This window comes from Homo sapiens, chromosome 15 (assembly GCF_000001405.40).
Source record: "Homo sapiens chromosome 15, GRCh38.p14 Primary Assembly".
In the NCBI taxonomy this organism is placed as follows: domain Eukaryota; kingdom Metazoa; phylum Chordata; class Mammalia; order Primates; family Hominidae; genus Homo; species Homo sapiens.
The window spans coordinates 41,671,350-41,691,167 of NC_000015.10; the positions used below are offsets into that span (position 1 = coordinate 41,671,350).

The 19,818-nt window shown below is 39.6% G+C and overlaps 1 protein-coding gene across 54 annotated transcripts in view; it reads left to right on the forward strand.

Moving 5' to 3' along the window:
* Positions 1–19,818, forward strand: part of MGA (MAX dimerization protein MGA) — a 148,717-nt gene that overhangs the window by 50,126 nt on the left and 78,773 nt on the right. For 5 of the 54 annotated variants that reach the window (NM_001400246.1, NM_001400247.1, NM_001400243.1 and 2 more), the window contains exon 3: positions 3,192–3,757. The exons of the other annotated variants lie outside the window; for them this stretch is intronic. In NM_001400246.1, coding sequence (NP_001387175.1) covers position 3,192 — 1 coding nt within the window. In that variant the 3' untranslated portion in view covers positions 3,193–3,757. Of the gene's footprint in view, positions 1–3,191; positions 3,758–19,818 lie in introns of those variants that run through there. 54 annotated transcript variants of the gene reach the window in all.

Sequence of the window (19,818 nt, forward strand, 5' to 3'; positions counted from 1 at the left end):
GTCTCACCCTGTCGCCCGGGCTGGAGTGCAGTGGTGTCATCTCGGCTCACTGCAACCTCTGGCTCCCAGGTTCAAGCGATTCTCCTGCCTCAGCCTCCCAAGTAGCTGGGATTGCAGGTGTGTGCCACCATGCCCGGCTAAATTTTTTATATATTTTTTAGTAGAGATGGGGTTTCACCATGTTGGCCAGGCTGGTCTCAAACTCCTGACCTCAGGTGATCCACCCGCCTCCGCCTCCCAAAGTGTTGGAATTACAGATGTGAGCCACCGCGCCCGGCCTGAACTTGCCTTATTTTGAGTTTTAAACCCAAGTTCAGCAAAAGTAAAGAAATCCCTGCACACAAATTTCCTTTACTTTCCTTTTCTTGCTAAAATTGTAGGCCACTAACAGCTACTATTTTTTGAATTTGGAATCTCCGTGCTCATGAGTTCCCCTTGTCTTGTCTATGAGCTGGTTATTGCTTTGCTTTTTCTAAGGATTGTTGCAGCAGGAGGAAGTGCTGCTCAAGCAATGCATAGTTTTTTTGTCAAAGGGGAAAGGTTCTTTCAGGTTATACTTTTTGCTGTGGTATTGTTTGTAATTGCAGCTGGTGGATGCCATCTTTAAACTTGATTCTTCAGCCACAGCTTAATCATCTTGATTATCTAACATAATTAAAATAAGATTTAAACAGTTGACCACAAATTATATTTTTACCCTTGTTATCCAGAAACAGTTTATTGTACCGTTGGATGATGCAGAATTTATTGAAATTCCTTTGGAGGATAGGGCCTGAAGGAGTTTGTTAGGTGAAAGGGTCAGACGTATGTTTGTTTGTTTTTCGAGATAGTGTATGGCTCTGTCACTTAGAATGGGTGCAGTAGTGCATTCACGGCTCACTGCAGCCCTGACTTCCTGGACTTGGGTGATTCTCCTACCTCAGCCTCCTGAATAGCTGGGACTACAGGCATGCACCACCATCCCTGGCTAATTTTTTGTATTTTTAGTAGAGAAGAGGTTTTGCCATGTTGCCCAGGCTGGTCTCAAACTCATGAGCTGAAGCGATCTGTCAGCCTTGGCCTTTCACAGTTCTGGGATTACAGGCATGAGCTGCCACACCCAGCCAGGCTTATTTTTTTGTTATAGAAAGCAGCTGTTGGGATTACATATGGTTAAGCCTTTGATTTTAATGGATCAAGAGAGTGGTTCAGATTTATTAACGTATAGTATCTCTGTCACTAAAGGGAGAAAAGCAACTTGAATCATGCTCCAAGAAATAGCATTATCTTTGTGTGTGAAAATGGTATTTAGCTATATGTAAACTTTTTTTCTAAATGCTTGATACGGGAGCAGAAATTATTTTTAGGCAGGAGTTGGACAAATCTGGCCTATAGCCTATTTTAGTATGTATACAAGAATATGTGACAGAGACCATAGATGCTTGTAAAGCGTAAAATATTTACTATCTGTTCCTTTACAGGAAAAATTTGCCAACCTCTGATTTAAGGGTTTAAAAAATTATATACACATGCGTGTGCACACACACACACACACACACACACTATTTTCCCATTTTCTATTCAGTTACTGATATATGATTGCTCTGTCATTCTTTGTTTTAGCTAATGTTATTGGTAAACACACTGATCTTTATTCAGGCTTTATTTGCTACATTTGCGGTTGCTTGACCATTTTTCTCCTACTTTAAACTCTTATTTTTGCTTCCTTGGCTTTTACCATACCATTCACGTGGTTCTCCTAACTCTTGATTTTTTCCCTTCTTTCAGTTATTCTTACTGACTCCTTATATTATAATATATTCAGATATTTATTACATGAAGGTTATTTCCTAGTATTATGCTCTCGTAGTCCTTAGTTTTTCTTTCTTTCTTTTTTTTTCTTTTTTGAGACAGAGTCTTGCCCTGTTGCCCAGGCTGAAGTGCAGTGGTGTGATCTTGGCTTGCTGCAACCTCTGCCTCCTGGGTTCAAGCGATTCTTGTGCCTCAGCCTCTGGATTAGCTGGAATTACAGGTGCATGCCACCATGCCTGGCTAATTTTTGTATTTTTAGTAGAGATGGCGTTTCACCATGTTGGCCAGGCTGGTCTTGAACTCCTGGCCTCAAGTGATCCTCCTGCCTCAGCTTCCCAAAGTGGTAGGATTACAGGCGTGAGCTACCATGCCCAGCTGTTGTAGTCTTTTTCTTTCTTTCTTTTTTTTTTTTTTTTTTTGAGATGGAGTTTTGCTCTTGTTTTCCAGGCTGGAGTGCAGTGGTACGATCTCGGTTCAATGCAACCTCTGCTTCCTGGGTTCAAGTGATTCTCCTGCCTCAGCCTCTGGAGTAGCTGGGATTACAGGCATGTGCCACCATGCCTGGCTAAGTTTTGTATTTTTAGTAGAGACGGGGTTTCACCATGTTGGTCAGACTGGTCTCGAACTCATGACCTCAGGTGATCCACCTGCCTCAACCTCCCAAAGTGCTGGAATTACAGGCGTGAGCTACCCCATCCCTGGCCATCTTGTAGTCTTATCTATGACTTTGACCTCTTCTCCCATCTAATACTGATTATTGTTATGTTTTGAGACGGAGTCTTGCTCTGTCACCCAGGCTGAAGCGCAGTGGCGCGATCTCGACTCACGGAAACCTCCGCCTCTTGGGTTCAAGCAATTCTCCTGCCTCAGCCTCCCGAGTAGCTGGGATTACAGGCACATGCTACCACACCCGGCTAATTTTTGTAGTTTTAGTAGAGGTGGGCTTTTGCCATGTTGGCCAGGCTGGTTTTGAACTCTTGACCTCAGGTGACCCACCTACCTCAGCTTCCCAAGTGCTGGATTACAGGGGTGAGCCACTACATCTGACCAATTATTATTTTTTATTTTTATTTTTAGACAGAGTCTGGCTCTATTGCCTCAGCTGGAATATAGTGGCGCGATCTTGGCTCACTGCACTTCTGCCTCCCAGGTTCAAGCAATTTTCCTGCCTCAGCCTCTGGGGTAGCTGGGATTACAGGTGCCTACCACCATGCCCGACTAATTTTTTTGTATTTTCAGTAGAGGTGGGGTTTCAGCATGTTGGCCAGGCTGGTCTTGAACTCCTGACCTCAAGTGGCCTGCTCACCTCAGCCTCCCAAAGTGTTAGGATTATAGGCATGAGCCACTATGCCCAGCTTAATAGTGATTATTCTTATTTTTATTTTTATTTTTTTTTTTAGACAGAGTCTTGCTGTGTCACCCAGGCTGAAACGTAGTGGCGTGATCTGGGCTCACTGCAACCTCCGCCTCCTGGGTTCAAGTGATTCTCCTGCCTCAGCCTCCTGAGTAGTTGGGACTATAGACGCATGCCACCACAGCCAACTATTTTTTGTATTTTTAGTAGAGACGGGGTTTCACCATGTTGGTCAGGATGGTCTCGATCTCTTGACCTCTTGATCCGCCCGCCTTGGCCTCCCAAAGTGTTGGGATTACAGGCGTGAGCCACGGCGCCCGGCCAATAGTGAATATTTTTAAAGCCACTGATGTTTCTAGCTTATTTGTCTCTCTTCTTAGTTCCAGACCTCTAGATCAAAATGTTCATTATTATAGAGAATTCCAGCTGAATTTTTCTTTTTACTTTAAATCCTCCCCTTTTTTTTGCATTAGCTATGATAGTCATTCAAATCGGAAACCTCTGCATTGTTTTTGCCTCCTTACATAAATCTGTTAAGTTATTCTCCTATTGATGTATATTTGGATTGTTTCTAGTTTTTGACTGTTATGAATAAAACTAGTACGAACTTTCTTACACGTGTCTTTGGTGGACATACGCACTAGTTTCTTTTTGTTACATGTCTAGGAGGAGAATTGCTGGGTCATACAGTAGGCATACTTTTAGTAGACACTGCCAGAATTTTCCAAAAGGATCATACCAGCTTATACTTCCACCAAAAATGTATGATGAGACTTCCTGTTACTTCTACATCTTTGTTAGCACATGTGGTATTGTCTTTTTTGTTTTTAGCTATTCTGGTTTCACTATCTTTAGAGGCTATTGCTGCTTTTTTTTTTCCCCTTTCTTTTTTTTTGAGTCAGGATCTTGCTGTTTGTTTCCCAGGCTGGAGTGCAGTGGCAGGTTCATGGCTTGATGTAGCCTTGACCTCTTGGGCTTTACTGATCCTGCTGTCTCAGCCTCCCTAGTAGCTGGGACTACAGGCATGCACCACCACGCCCAGTTAATTTTTAAAAAAGATTTATGTAGAAATGGGATCTTGCTATGTTGGCCAGGCTCGTCTCAAACTCCTGGCTACAAGGATCCTCCTACCTCAGCCTCTGAAATTGTTGGGATTACGGGAGTGAGCCACTGTGCCCGGCTCTTTAGAGGCTTCTAATTCCATTAATGGATGACTGCTTATTTCCTGTAAGTAGAAATTCATCTTTGCCATCCCCTTTTGTATGTTTACCTATTTCTTCTTTTTAAAAAAATTATAGCTGTAGAGGGCAAAATCAATTCATACCCTCTTTTACGTGACCTTCAAACATTTGGGAAAAAATTATACTCCTTTATGATTTCTGTTATCTTTTATTCAGTCATTCACTAAGTGTAACAGAATACCTTTTAGTTTCAGGTACTTTTCTAAGTACCAAATAAAACAAATTCCTGCATTATGGATCTTAGGTTTTACATAATTCCAACCTAAGCACAGATCATTCAGCTTTTCCATGTGTGACATAGTTTTCAGATGTTTTTCTGTTTGGTTAGTTGATTGCACACTACCATGGGTGCACCTGGAGTTTCTGGCACATATATTTTTCTCACAAGAAAGCTCATCAGAATGCAAGTGAGTGAGAATGACATTATTATAGAGAGAGTCACTCTGGTTTGATTTTTTTTTTTTTGAGACGAAGTCTCGCACTGTTGTGCCAGCTGGAGTCCAGTGGTGCAATCTTGGCTCACTGCAACCTCCATGTCCTGGGTTCAAGTGATTCTCCTGCCTCAGCCTCCCGAGTAGCTGGGATTTCAGGCACCCGCCACCAAACCTGGCTAATTTTATGTAGAGATTTCACTACGTTGGCCAGGCCGGTCTCATGATCTGCCCGCCTTGGCCTCCCCAAGTGCCGGGATTACAGGCGTGAGCCACCGTGCCTGGCCTGGTTTGATATATTTAAAACAAGAATTAATTCACAAATGTCAATATTAGACAAATATGAACAGTTTTACAAAAATACTGTTCCCACAATCTAGAATCCTGGTTTTTTTTCTCAACATTGTACATTCTATGGCAGGCATTTTTAAGGGGTGTATTAGTATCTATAAGATGTATTTAATCAGTTCTGTGTTGATGGACCTTGAAATTGTTTTAGTTTTTTTAGCCACTACAAATAATGCTTCAGTAAAATTTCTTACACACATTTTTTATATACTTTTGCAAATACAGTGATTAATTCTTAGGAATGGAATTGCCTAGATCAAGATTTTAAATTTTAATTAATTGCTAAATTATATTCTAAAAGGTTATAACCATTTATATCCCTACCCATAGTACATGAGCCTGCTGATTTTTGTATCATCTTTATTGTCCAAAATACCATCCCCACTGCATAACATCTACCTGGTTTCCCAGCTGCTTTCCCCCCCAAAATCCCATGCTCTATTTGGTAGACAGAAGGATCTTTGAAAAATATGACTTACGGGGATTATGTTCCCTCTTAAAATTCTTCAGTGGCTTTCCATTGCACTTAAAGGCCACTTGCCTGATCTCTTTGGCCTTATCTCATTTATCTGTTGGTGGACACTTGGATAGCTTCTACCTTTTTTCTATTGTGAATAATGGAGTTACGAATTCTTTTTTTTTGGAGATTGAGTCTCGCTCTGTCGCCCCCAGGCAGGATTGCAGAGGTGTGATCTTGGCTCACAGCAACCTCTGCCTCCTGTGTCCAAGCGATCCTCCCACCCTAGCCTCCAGAGTAGCTGCGATTACAGGCACGTGCCACCGCACCCAGCTAATTTTTGTATTTTTATTAGAGGTGGGGTTTCGCCATGTTGGCCAGGCTGGTTTCGAACTCCTGACCTCAGGTGATCCAGCCACCTCAGCCTCTCAAGTGCTGGATTACAGGAGTGAGCCACTGCACCTGGCCAATGAATTCTTTCGGGTATATACCTAGAAGTAGAATTGCTGGATCATATGGTAATTCTATTTTTAATTTTTTGAGGAACCGCAATACTGTTTTCCAAAGTGACTGAACCACTCTATATTCCCATCAACAGTGCACAAGTGTTCTAATTTCTGCTTATCCTGGCCAGCACTTAACTGTTTTTAATAATAGCCATCTTAATGGGTATGAAGGGATAGCTCGTTGTTTTTAATTTGCATTTCCCTAATGATTAACATGTTATGATAGGCATTTTTTCACATTTATTTACCATTTGTATAAGGAGAAATGTTTATTCAAGTGCTTTGCCCATTTAAAAATTGAGTCGTTATTTTGTTATTGAGATGCAGGAGTTCTTTATATATTTTGGATATTAATCCATTAGATAAATGATTTGCAAATCTTTTCTCTCATTCTGTGGGTTGTCTTTTCATTCTTATATAGTGTGTTTTGATGCACAAGTTTTTAATTTTAATGAAGTACAATTTTCCTATTCTTTATTCTCTTACCTGTGCTTTTGATGTTATGCTTAAGAAACCATTGCCAAATCTAACATTAGAAAGAGTTTCCCTTATGTTTCTTACTAAGAGTTTTATAGTTTTACCTCTTAAGTTTAGGTCTGCAATCAATTTTGAATTTTTTTTTTTTTTTTTTGAGACAGAGTCTTGCTCTGTCACCCAGGCTGGAGTGCAGTGGTGTGATCTCGACTCACTGCAACCTGTGCCTCCCAGGTTCAAGCGATTCTCCTGCCTCAGCCTCCTGAGTAGCTGGGATTACAGGCGCTGGCCACCATGCCCAGCTAATTTTTGTATTTTTAGTAGAGATGAGGTTTGGCTGTGTTGGCTAGGCTGGTGTCGAACTCCTGACCTCAAGTGATCTGCCCGCCTCAGCCTCCCAAAGTGTTGGGATTACAGGCATGAGCCACCACGCCGGAGTGTTTTTATTAGTGGTGTAAGGTAAGGCTTCAGCTTCATTCTTTTGCATGTGTGTATCCAGTTTCCCGTCACCATTCATTGAAAAGACTGTCCTGGCCGGGTGCTGTGGCTCATGCCTGTAATCCCAGCACTTTGGGAGGCTGAGGCGGGCGGATCACGAGGTCAGAAGTTGGGGACCAGTGTGGCCAACATAGTGAAACCCTGTCTCTACTAAAAATACAAAAAAAATTATCCGGGCATGGTGGCGCACACCTGTAGTCCCAGCTACTCAGGAGGCTGAGGCAGGAGAATCGCTTGAACCCGGGAGGCGGAGGTTGCAGTGAGCTGAGATTGCACCACTGTCCTCCAGCCTGGGCAGCAGAGCAAGACTCCATCTCAAAAAAAAAAAAAACCACAAAATGAAAAGACTGTCCTTTTCCCATTGAATGGTCTTTGCACCTGTTGAAAATCAATTGCCCACATATGTGCAGATTGATTTCTCAGCTCTCTGTATTCTGTTCGCCTATATGTTTATGTTTATCTTTATGCCAGTGTCACATTATTTTGATTACTAGACATTTTCAAATTGGGCAGTGTGAGACCACCAACTTTGTTCTTATTTTTCAAAATTGTTTTTGCTATTTAAAGCCCCTTGAGATTCCATTTTCTTTTCTTTTTCTTTTTTGAGACTGAGTCTTGCTCTGTTTCCCAGGCTGGAATGCAGTGGTGTGATCTCGGCTCGCTGCAACCTCCGCCTCCTGTGTTTAAGCAATTCTCCTGTGTCAGCCTCCTGAGTAGCTGGGACTACAGGTGCGCACCACTGTGCCCGGCTAATTTTTTGTATTTTTAGTGGAGATGGGGTTTCACCATATTGGCCAGGCTGGTCTTAAACCCCTGACCTTGTGATCCGCCCGCCTTGGCCTCCCAAAGTGCTGGGATTACAGGGATTATAGGCATGAGCCACCGCGCTGGGCCGAGGTTTCATTTTCTACTTCTGAAAAATCCCGTTGGGATTTTGATAAGGATTTTGTTGAATTCGTTCAACACTTTGGGTTGTCTTCCTATTCATGAACATGGGATATCTTTCCATTTTAATTTTTTTCAATAATGCTTTTATGGTTTTCAATGTAAAAGTGTTTTGCTTTCTTAGTTAAATCTATTCCTAAGTATTTTATTCTTTTTGATGCTATTATATATTGAGTGATTTCCTTTTCTTTTTATATTGCCCATTGCTGTTTTGTATTGCATATTGTTCATTGTGTAGAAATACAATTGATTTTTGTGTGTTGAGTTTGTATCCTTCAACTTTGCTGAATTGTTTATTAAGTGAGTGGCTTGTGTGTGTGTGTTGTGTTGTGGGGGGGACTGAGTGCGTTTTTTTTGTGTGTATATGTGGGTTTTTGAAAGTTTCTCTATATAAGATTGCACCATCTATTAAAAGAGATATCTTTACAAACTCCTTGACAATTTGAATATGTTTTTTTTTCTTTTTCTTGTCTAATTGCTCTAAATAGGACTTTCAGTAGTAGGTGGCAAATAGTGGCAAAAGTGGGAGCATTATGGTTGTAGTTTGTCTTTTTCTAGTGATTAGCAAAGTTGAACACCTTTTTGTATTATTTATTGACCGTTGGGGTTACTCAGATGATTGTGTACGTGTGTGTATATTCTTGGACACTGTTTTCTTCCCTTGATCAGTTTGTCTACACGTAAGGCCCAAATCACATTGTTTTAATTGGTATAGCTTTATGATGGTAACTGCCTGACCATGGTCCTACTGTATTCCACCTCTGTGGTAAGGCGTTTTTCTAACTAGTCATTGTTGGTTCTTTACTTTGATGCATTTCTTACTCTGTCTCTTGAGTATATTGCTCAGGTTGTTGCAGCATTCTTTCTTCTAGTTTTGCCCTTGTCAGAATTATAATTTTTAAAAGGAAATTCAATAATGTTACTAATCTACTTAACTTTTCAGAGGTACACAGTTGCCTTACAATTTAAAAAATTAAGTAAAAATAGTACTATTCTGTTTTAACCCCCCCTGATGCATTGAATAAGAACCCATAGTTGGTCTCCATAGGTTGAAATGCATGGTCCCCAACAAGACTGCACCTAGTTGAGACATTAACCACAACTGGAGATCCTAGGCCACCTGTACTTTTCACCAGTTGGCTACAAATCCTGAGATTCTCACAATCTCTCTCAGGTTCACTAATTCACTAGACTCATAGAACTCAGGAAAACACTGTATTTAGAATTAGAATTTTGCTGTAAAGAATACAAGTTAGGACCAGCCTAATGAGACGTAAAGAACAAGGTCTGGGAGGGTCTCACATGCAGAGCTTCCATGCCCTCTCCCCATGGAAACATATAGGGTACATCACCCTTCTGGGACATCAGTGTGTTCACCAGCCAGGAAGCTTTATTAAGCTTTGGTATTCAAAATTTTGGGGGTTCATTACATAGGGGTAATTGACAAAATCTGTGATTGAACTTAATCTTCAGTTCTTTTCCCCACCCTAGAGGTTGAGCTGGCTCAGAGTCCCAGTTCTTTAATCACAGTGTTGTTGTTTTTGGAGACCAGTGCCATCCTGGATCTATTTAGGGGGTCTACTACAGGTCATGTCATTAGCTTAAACTCAGGTGTGAGCCAGTGGGTTCATGAATGACAGTCCCTTCTGTCACTCTGGAAATACCAAAGATTTTAGAAGCTTTGTACCAGGAACCCTGGACAAAGACCAGACAAGCTCATTATACAGCAAATACATAATACATAATGTAAAAAGATTAAATAAAACCACTTATGATGAAAAATAGTAGTGACTTGGCTTTACCATTTTTCACCCCCTAGTTTTCTTTATAGAGGAAATTAGTTTTTCCATTTTAGCTATTTCTTGTGGTATTTGCCTCTGTCTAGGTCATATGCATAATGCCAAATAATTATCAATTTTACATGTAATCCATTTAAAATTATTTTCTAGTACAATATATGGGCCGTTTAGTTGTTACTGTTTTTAAATCCTTGTAGTATACTCTGTTTTTTTTTTTTTTTAATTCTGTTAGTGTCATTATCATAATTTTTGGTCAACTAATTTTTCTTTCTTTTTGAGACGGAGTCTCACTTGGTTGCCCAGGCTGGAGTGTAGTGGGTGATCACAGTTCACTGCAGCCTCAACCTTCCAGGCTCAAGTGATCCTCCCACCTCAGCCTCCCGAGTAGCTGAGACTATAAGTGTGTGCCTCCTCGCTTGGTTAATTTTTTTATTTTTGTAGAGATAGGATTTCACCATGTTTCCCAGGCTGGTCTTGAACTCCTGTGCTGAAGTGATCTTCCTGCCTTGGCCTCCCAAAGTGCTGGGATTACAGGTGTGAGGCACCATGCTTGGCCAAATAATCCATTTTTTTATGTTATGAGATAAATATTCTATACTGCTGAGCCAAATGTCATGCTATGAGTTAATTTTCTTTTATAACTTTGTTTTGTAGTAGTTAATTATTGCTTTTTTAAAAAATATATTTGTAGTTTATATGTACTGGTGCTTATTCTACCCACATTTGTTTTTTTGTTTTTCCGAGATGGAGTTTTGCTCTTATTGCCCAGGCTGGAGTGCAATGGTGCGATCTCGGCTTACTGCAACCGCTGCCTCCCAGGTTCAAGCGATTCTCTTGCCTCAGCCTCCGGAGTAGCTGGGATTACAGGCATGTGCCACCATGCCCGGCTAATTTTGTATTTTTAGTAGAGATGAGGTTTCTCCATGTTGGTTAGGCTGGTCTCGAACTCCTGACCTCAGGTGATCTGCCTGCCTCAGCCACCCAAAGTGTTGGGATTATAGGTGTGAGCCACTGCACCCCCCTTCTACCTACATTATTTAATAAAATCTTTTGGTTCATTCATACACATACACACACACGTACATATATGTGCATACACATATTCATCTATTGAAAGTAAATTTTTGTGTGTACCTCCTCTGCATACTTCTTCGGGAGCTCTTTATTCTCCTTTGCCAATCTGATCTGGTTGTACTCTAGGCCCCTACCAAGCTGCCATCTTGGGATTTTCCTTTGCTATCATCCTGCTAACTTTACATTTGCTATTTTCATATAGGTTCTTTTTATTTATTTATTTATTTTTTTGAGATGGAATCTCGCTCTGTCACCCAGGCTGGAGTGCAGTGGTGTGATCTTGGCTCACTGCAACCTCTGCCACCTGGGTTCAAGGGATTCTCCTGCCTCAGCCTCCCAAGTAGCTGGGACTACAGGCTCATGCTTCCACGCCCGGCTAATTTTTGTGGTTTTGGTAGAGATGGGGTTTCACCATTTTGGCCAGGCTGGTCTTGAGCTCCTGACCTCAAGTGATCCTCCTGCCTCAGCCTCCCAAAGTGCTGGGATTACAAGTGTGAGCCACTGCACCCGGCCTCATGTACGTTCTTTTGTGTCCTGTATCTTAAGCTGTCTTTACTGGTTTGTGTTGTTTTTGTTGTTTTGTGAAGTTCATTTTTCAGTAGTTTCTTTAGAAAGTATCTGTAGAACATAGAATTTTAAGATGTTTAAGTAAAATTACTTACGATGAAAAGAGTTCCCAGCCTCATCTCTCTTCACCCCTCAATTTCTTCTTACGTGTTGGGAATTGGCTTTATTCTGCTTCTCAAACTTTATAAAATTGTTTCTGTAACGAGTTCTTTGAAAATGTGTTGTTGCCTCCCGGTTTCCTGTTGAGAAGTTTGATGGCATGTTTTGCTCTGGTGATTTGAATGTAACCTTGCCCCCTTCTGCTTTCAGAACCTTTTATTGATCCCTCATATTATGAAATTTCAGTTATAAACCTTGGTGTGGTGGTTCTCATCTTTGTACTGTGCTTTATTTTTTTAAATTGAGACAGGGTTTTGCTTTGTTACCCAGGCTGGAGTGCTGGGACACAATCCATGGCTCACTGCAAGCTTGGTCTCTTGGTCTCCTCAAGTGATCCTCTCACCTCAGCCTCCTGAGTAGTTGGGACTGACTACAGGTGTGCACCACCACACCTGGCTAATTTTTTATTTTTATTTTTTGTAGATACAAGGTCTCACTGTGTTTCCCAGGTTGGTCCCTGCCTCCTGGGCTCAAGTAGTCCTCGTGCCTCAGCCTGCCAAGAGCTCTTTTATTTTCTTCTGTACTCTACATTTCTCTTTTCCAGTGGATTTCTTAGTTCTTTGTTCTATTAATGAATCCCCAATTTTTTTTTTTTTTTTTTTGGAGATAGGGTCTCACTTTGTCACCCAGGCTGGAGTGCAGTGGCGCGATCTTGGCTCACTGCAGCCTTGACCTCCTGGGGTCAAGTGATCATCCCACATCAGCCCCATAGGTAGGTAGTTGGGACTACAGGCATGAACACTTGGCTAATTATTTTTTGTAATTTTTGTAGAGATGGGGTTTCGCCATGTTGCCCAGGCTGGTCTTGAACTCCTGAGCTCAAGCAATCTGCCCGTCTTGACCTCACAAACTGCTGGGATTACAGGCGTGACCCACCGTGCATGGCCTAAGCACCAGTTTTGTTTTTTTTCCCTTTCCTTTTTTTAAAAAAAATTATTTTTATTTTATTTTAAGTTCCTGGATACATGTGCAGGATGTGCAGGTTAGTTACATACGGCATGCTAAGCACCAGTTTTACGGAAGGCGTTATAATATGGGTTCTTCCTGTGTGCACCCTTATTGCCTATATGTATGTTTATTATAGCATCTGTTAAATTGCATCATATTGTCTACTTGTCTGTCTCCTGCACTGGCCTGTAAATTCCTTGAATGTAGAGACAGTGCTTTATTTACTTTGTTAATCTCTGTGCCTAACAAAATGTCTGGCATTACTGGGCACTCAGCAAATGTTAAGTGAATGAGTTTTATCATGAGTATTTAAAACTTTCTTAATGTGTCTTAGAGTGGCTGGTGTTCGTCACACATTAATATGTAGTGTTATTTGTTGCATTGATTACATAATGCCAACAAAAAAAATCCTTTTAATTAACTGTTGTTTGTAATTCATTGATTTTGCCTAGGTATTCTTTTGCCTAATTTATTTGGATAGAAGAGACTTCTCAGAAGAATGAAACTTAACTGTTTGTGAAATTTTTTCCCCAAGGCAAGATTTCATTCATCATGTATAAAGTTTTTGTTGGAAAATAGAAGAAATCCTTTCTGAGAGTGTTTATAACTTACCAAGTTCAATTTCTCAGGAAGATGTGAAAGCAGTTATTGCAGTAGCAGCCCAGATCTAGCCTCAGAGGTTTCCCAGCTACTGCGAACAAATGCATGTTGTGTGCTAAATGAAAAGAAGATAAAAAATTTTTTTCTACATTATGAGAGTTATGTCTTGAAATGTGAAGATATCGAGAGAAAAATAGCAAGTTATTTAAGCATTAATCTTAAATTACTTGATATAGAATGTCATTTATATGTGATATACATAAGAACTGAGATAACTGGGAAAGGGAAAAGAGTGGGCTTGATTATGGAAATTGATTGGCTTGTGGCTTTTCTGTAGTTTTTGCTTGCTTAATCTTTAAAAACAGATAAAGGGAAACTGGATTTTGGTAATGGCTAATAACTATACATTTATTAAAAATTATTGAGTTAACACTTAAAATGTGGGTGGCTTTTATATTATGTAACTTATACAGTAAAGTTTTAAAAAAATTGATAAAGAGAGAGCTGTTTTCACCAGTTAAGTGAAATGTTTGAAAGGGGGAAGTTGTTTTGGTTTTCACATTTAATTCTGTGATCTGTCTTGAATTATTAATAATTTTTGTACATGCTGTGAAGGGTCAGGGTTCGTATTTTTCCATGCAGATGGCTAGGTGCTCTAGCATCACTTATTGAAAATAATTTTCTCCATTAAGTTGCATTGTTGCTTAGGAAAATCAGCTGACTATATGCGCACAGGTAGGTTTATTTTATACTAAATTCTGTTTCATTGATTTATTTGTCTATGTTTTCTATTATTTTGGGCAATACCGTGCTGTCTTAATGGTAGTAGATTTATAATAAGTCTTAGAATCTGGTAAGGTAAGCCTTTGAACCCCCCATTATTTTGGTTGTCCTGGGTTCTTTGTATTTCCACATAAATTTTGAGTCAGCTTTTCAGTTTCTGTGAAAAAACCCGCTGGAATTGCCTTGAATAATAGATCCAGTTGAAAAGACTTGATATCTTGACATCATTGAATATTCTGTTAAACAAGGTATATATCTCTGTTTATTTAGATCTTGTTTAGTTTATCTCAACCATAATTCATTCTTTTCAGTCTTTAATTAAACTTATTCCTAGGTGCTTTAAAAAATGATCCTTGTAATTGGCATTTAAAATAATTTTCCAGTTTTGGCTGGACGTGGTGGCTCATGCTTGTAATTCCAGCACTTTGGGAGGCCGAGGCGGGAGGATCAGGAGGATCATGAGGTCAGGAGATGGAGACCATCCTGGCTAACACGGTGAAACCCCGTCTCTACTAAAAATACAAAAAGAAATTAGCTGGGTGTGGTTGCGGGCACCTGTAGTCCCAGCTACTCAGGAGGCTGAGGCAGGAGAATGGCGTGTACCCGGGAGGCGGAGCTTGCAGGGAGCCGAGATCGTGCCACTGCACTCCAGCCTGGGTGACAGAGTGAGACTCTGTCTCAAAAAAAAAAAAAAATAATAATAATAATTTCCCAATTTTTTGATAGTATATAGAAATCCAGCTGAGTTTTACTAATTTATAGAGTCCTTTAGAAATTTTCTACATGTACAGTGTTACCTGTGAACAAATTTAGTTTTACATCTTCTTTCCAATCTTTATGCCTGTTCTCTCTCTTGCTTTATTGCATTGCTTGGACTCCCAGTACTGTGTTGAAAATAAATTTTGAGGCAGGGTGTGGTGGCTCACGCCTTTAATTCCAGCACTTTGGGAGGCCGAGGTAGGAGGATCACTTGAGCCCAGGAGCTTGAAAGCAGCCCTGGAAACATAGTGACACCCACCCAGCTCACCCCCATCTCTATAAAAACTTAAAAAAATAATTAGCTGGGCATGGTGGCACACACCTGTAGGCCCAGCTACTTGAGAGGCTGAGGTGGGAGGATTGCTTGAGTTGAGCCTGGGAGGTTGAGGTTGCAGTGAGCCATGGTTGTACCACTGCATGGGCAACAGAGTGAGATGCTGTCTTAAAAAAAAAATTTTTTTTTTGAGTGGTCATTCATGTCTCCTGATCTTAGAGAAACTCATTCTGTATTTTTTATAGCATGTTGGGTGTAGTTTTTGTGTAGTGCTCTTTATCATGTTGAAATACTTTCCTACTGTTACCCATTTTCCTGAATATTGTTAAGAATGAGTGTTGAATTTCATCAAATGATTTTTCTAAATCCATTGAAATACCATATGTTTTTTCTCCTTTATTTTGTTAATATGGTGAATTAACATTGATTTAGAGGGGAGGGGTGATCTTACATTCTTGGGCTAAACATTACCTGGCCATGATGATATCATCCTTTTTAATATTACTGGTTTCAATTTGCTAATATTTTATTGAGGATTTTTGCACCAAATTCATGTGGGATATTTGTTTATAGTTTTATTTCTGATGTGTTAGCAGTAGGGTTATGGTTACCTCATAAAACACGTTGCAAAGTGTTCTGTTTTCTGTATGTGCTGAGTTTGTGCAAGATTGCTGTTTTTTTTTTCATTATGTATTTGATAGAATTTATCAGTGAAGCCACAGAGTTTTCTTGTTGGCAGAATTCAAATCATGACTTCAAGTTCTTTGTTTTTTTCTATTTCATTGATTTTTCTCTCATCATTAACTCCTTTGTTCTACTTGTTTTTGGTTTAATTTGCCTTAGATTAGGGTTTGGTGGACTAAGACCCATGGATCATATGTGCCTACCGTTGGTTTTTACTTGGCTTGTAAGCTAAGAATGATTTTTAACAGTTTTCAGTGATTGGGGAAAAAAAATAGTTATTTGTGATGTGAAAATTAAAGTTCAAATTTCAGTGTCCTGTTTTTTGGAAGACAGTCATGCTTGTCTTTTGTATTTGTATTTTGTATTTGTATTTATTTTATTTTGTTTATGTATTGTCTGTAGCTTGAGTAGTTGCAGTAGAGACTGTATGGAATGCAAAGCCTAAAATTTTTACTGTTTAGCCCTTTACAGAAAAAAATGATCAACTCCTGTCTTAGATAATTGATTTTAGACTTTTTCATTTGTATGTATTTTAAACTATTCGTTTGACTCTTGAGCACTACTTTAGGTACATTCTACACATTTGGTATGTTGATAAGTTTGTTACTGATTTGTAGTTTGATTCCGTTGTTGTCAAAGAACATATGGCTTAAAACCTTTGGAAATTATCAAGGGTTTGCTTTATTGTCTAGGGTGTCATCTGTTTCTGATTGATACTTCATGTATACTTGAAAAGGATGTGTGTATTGTACAGTTGTTGGATATAATATTCTATAAAGGCTTATCAAGTAAGTTTGATTGATAGTGTTATTCAGTTCTTCTGTCCTGATTTTTTTAATGTCAGTTACTGAGAAAGATGGGTTAAAATCTCCCACCGTATTTGTGGATTTGTCTGTTTCTCTTTTTGGTACTATAGATTTTTGCTTCAAATACTTTGAAGCTAATATATGATTAGGTACATATACTTCTAGGGTTGTTTATGTTTTCTTGGTTAATTGAACTCAAAATTTTAATTATGTGCCTCTTTATCTCTGATAAAACTATTTTATTTTGAGATGGAACCTCGCTCTGTCACTGAGGCTGGAGTGCAGTGGTGCGATGTTGGCTCACTGCAACATCTGCCTCCCGGGTTCAAGCGATTCTCCTGCCTCAGCTTCCCAAGTAGCTGTGATTACTGGCACACACTGCCATGCCAACCTAATTTTTTGTATTTTAGTAGAGATGGGGTTTCACTGTGTTGCCCAGGCTGGTCTTGAACTCCTGAGCTCAGGTGATCCACCTGCCTACCAGAGTGCTGAGATTATAGACATGAGCCACCGTGCCCAGCCTAAAACTCCTTATTTTAAAGTCTACTTTGTTTGATGTTATTGAGCCATATTGGTTTCCTTCTAATAAGTTTTTGCATGGTTTATCTTTTTCCCTCCTTGTACTTTAATTCTTCTTCCTTGAATTTACATTGCGACTCTTTTAAATAGCTGATAGTTGGACTTGTTTCTTTATCCACTGTTTTAACCTTTGGCTTTTAATTGGACTGTTTTGTTCATTTACATTTAATGCCATTACTTATGTAGCTGAGTTTTAACCATGTCATCTTGCTATTTCCTGCTTCTCTTATCTGTTTATCTTTCCCTGTTTTTGTGTGGATTGAGCTTTTCAAATTCCATTTATATAAAAATTACCTCTTTGTAATTTTTTTAGTGGTTGCATTTGTCTACTCAGGCTGCCATAACAAAATATCGTAGATTGGCTGGCTTAAGCAACAGAAGTTTTATTTTTTTCACAGTTCTGGAGGCTAGAAAGTCCAAGATCAAAGTTCTGGCAGGGTTTGGTTTCTCATGTCTCATCTTGGCTTGTATACATATATAGCTGCTTTCTTATTATGTCCACACATGGGGGGAGCGGGGGATGTCTCTCTTCCTCTTCTTATAAGCCCACCATCCTGTTGGATTAGAGTCCTACCCTTAAAACCTCTTTTAACCCTAATTTTCTCCTAAAGCCCTGTTTGGGCTTCCACATACAAATTTGGTGGGGGACACAATTCAGTATATAGCAGTGTTATATGGATTACAATGTGCATCCTTAATTTATTGAATATAATTTGAATAATGAACTGCTAATGCACTTATATTTGATGTCCTTCTATGTGATATAAGCCTCTAAACCTTGTTACTTTATTTGCTTTAAACAGTCAGTAGTTGGTGTGTACCCTCTCCCTCTCTCTGTGGCTCGCTCTCATCCTCTCTTGCCTTCCCTTACCCTCTCTCCCTCTTCCTTTCTCTCCCTACCTCTCTCCCTCTCTTCTCCCTCCTCCTTCCTCCCTTCCTTTCTCCCTTTCTCCTTCTCTCCTTTTCTTTCTCTCTCCCTCTCTTTCTCCTCTTTCCCTCTCTCCTTCTCTCCTTAAAAATAAAAAAAGTCAGTAGTCATTTAAATAATATAAGAAAAGTCTTTTATATTTACGTATTTATTTATTTGTTTTCATCTGTTTCTGGATCTGTGTTTATTTTGGTTCATTTTCTTTTTCTTTTTTTTTTTTCTTTTTTTTGAGATAGAGTCTCACTCTGTCACCCAGGCTGGAGTGCAGTGATGTGATCTCAGCTCACTGCAACCTCTGCCTACCAGGTTCAGGTGATTTTCCTGCTTTAGCCTCCTGAGTAGCTGGGACTACAGGTATGCACCACCACACCCGACTAATTTTTGTATTTTTAGTAGAGACAGGGTTTTGCCATGTAGGCCAGGCTGGTCTTGAACTCCTGGCCTCAAGTGATCTGTCCACCTCAGCCTCAGCCACCACACCTGGCCCATATTGTTTCATTTTCTAACAGTCTGAAGAACTTCCTTTAATAGTTATTTTTTAAAAACTTTAAAAATTGAGATATAATTCACATACAATAAAATCTACATAAAATTCACCTACCAACTGAAAGTGTAGAGTTCAATGGTTTTTAATATATTCACAGGATTGCACAACCGTTACTTCAGTGCTGCAGTCAGTTTTAGGACATTACCAGCACCCCAGAAAGAAAACCCATTAAAAGTAACTTCCCATTTTCCCTCAACCACTCCCCAGCTCCACCCAATCCAACACAACCACCTGTCTCTGTCTCTGTAGATTTGCCTATTTTGGATATTTTATATAAATGGAATCATTTAATATGTGGTCTTTTGTGCCTGGCTTGTTTTACTTAGCTTGATGTTTTTAAGGTTCATCCATGTGTAGCATGTATCTGTACTTCGTTTCTTTTTATTGTCAAATAATATTGTGTGGACATTACCACATTTTTTTTATTCATCAGTTGGACAGTAAGGTTTTTAGTTTTTGGCTGTTACGAATAATGTTGCTGTGAACATTTGTATACAAGTCTTTGCGTGAACACAGTTTTTTGGTGTTGAAAAGACCATTCTTTCCTCTCTTGAATTGTCTTGGCACCTTGGCAATTGAATCAGTTGACATAAATGTGGGCATTTATTTCTGGACTCTCAATTCTGTTAGTTGATCTGTATATCTAGTCTTAATGTCAATATCACACTGTTGACTGGGCACGGTGGATCATGCTTAAAATCTCAGCACTTTGGGAGGCCAAGGCAGTAGGATAGCTTGAGCCCAGGAGTTTGAGACCAGCCTGGTCAACATGGTGAAACCCTGTCTCTACTAAAGAGAACCTGTCTCTACAAAAAAATAAAAATAATAGCTGAGTGGTGTGGTGGTATGTGTCTGTAGTCCCAGCTACTCGAGAGGCTAAAGTGGGAGGATCACTTGTTTCCAGGAATTTGAGGTTGCAGTGAGGTATGATTGCACCATTGCACTCTAGCCTAGGTGACACAGTGGGACCTTGTCTCAAAACCAAACCAAACTAATAGACACACTGTCTTAATTACTGTAGCTTTGTACTAAGCTGAAACCTGGAAGTGTGAGTCCTCTGAGAACTTTGTTTCTAATTTTCAAGATTGCTTTGTTTTTTTTTTTTTTTTTTGGTGGCTCCCTTGCATTTTCTTGTGAATTTTAGGGTCAGTTTGTCCCTTTCTGAAAAAAAAAATCACAGATGGAGTTTTGGTAGATACTGCATTGAATTTGTAGATCACTTTAGGGATTATTGCTGTTTTACCAATATGAAATATTTTTTGTCCA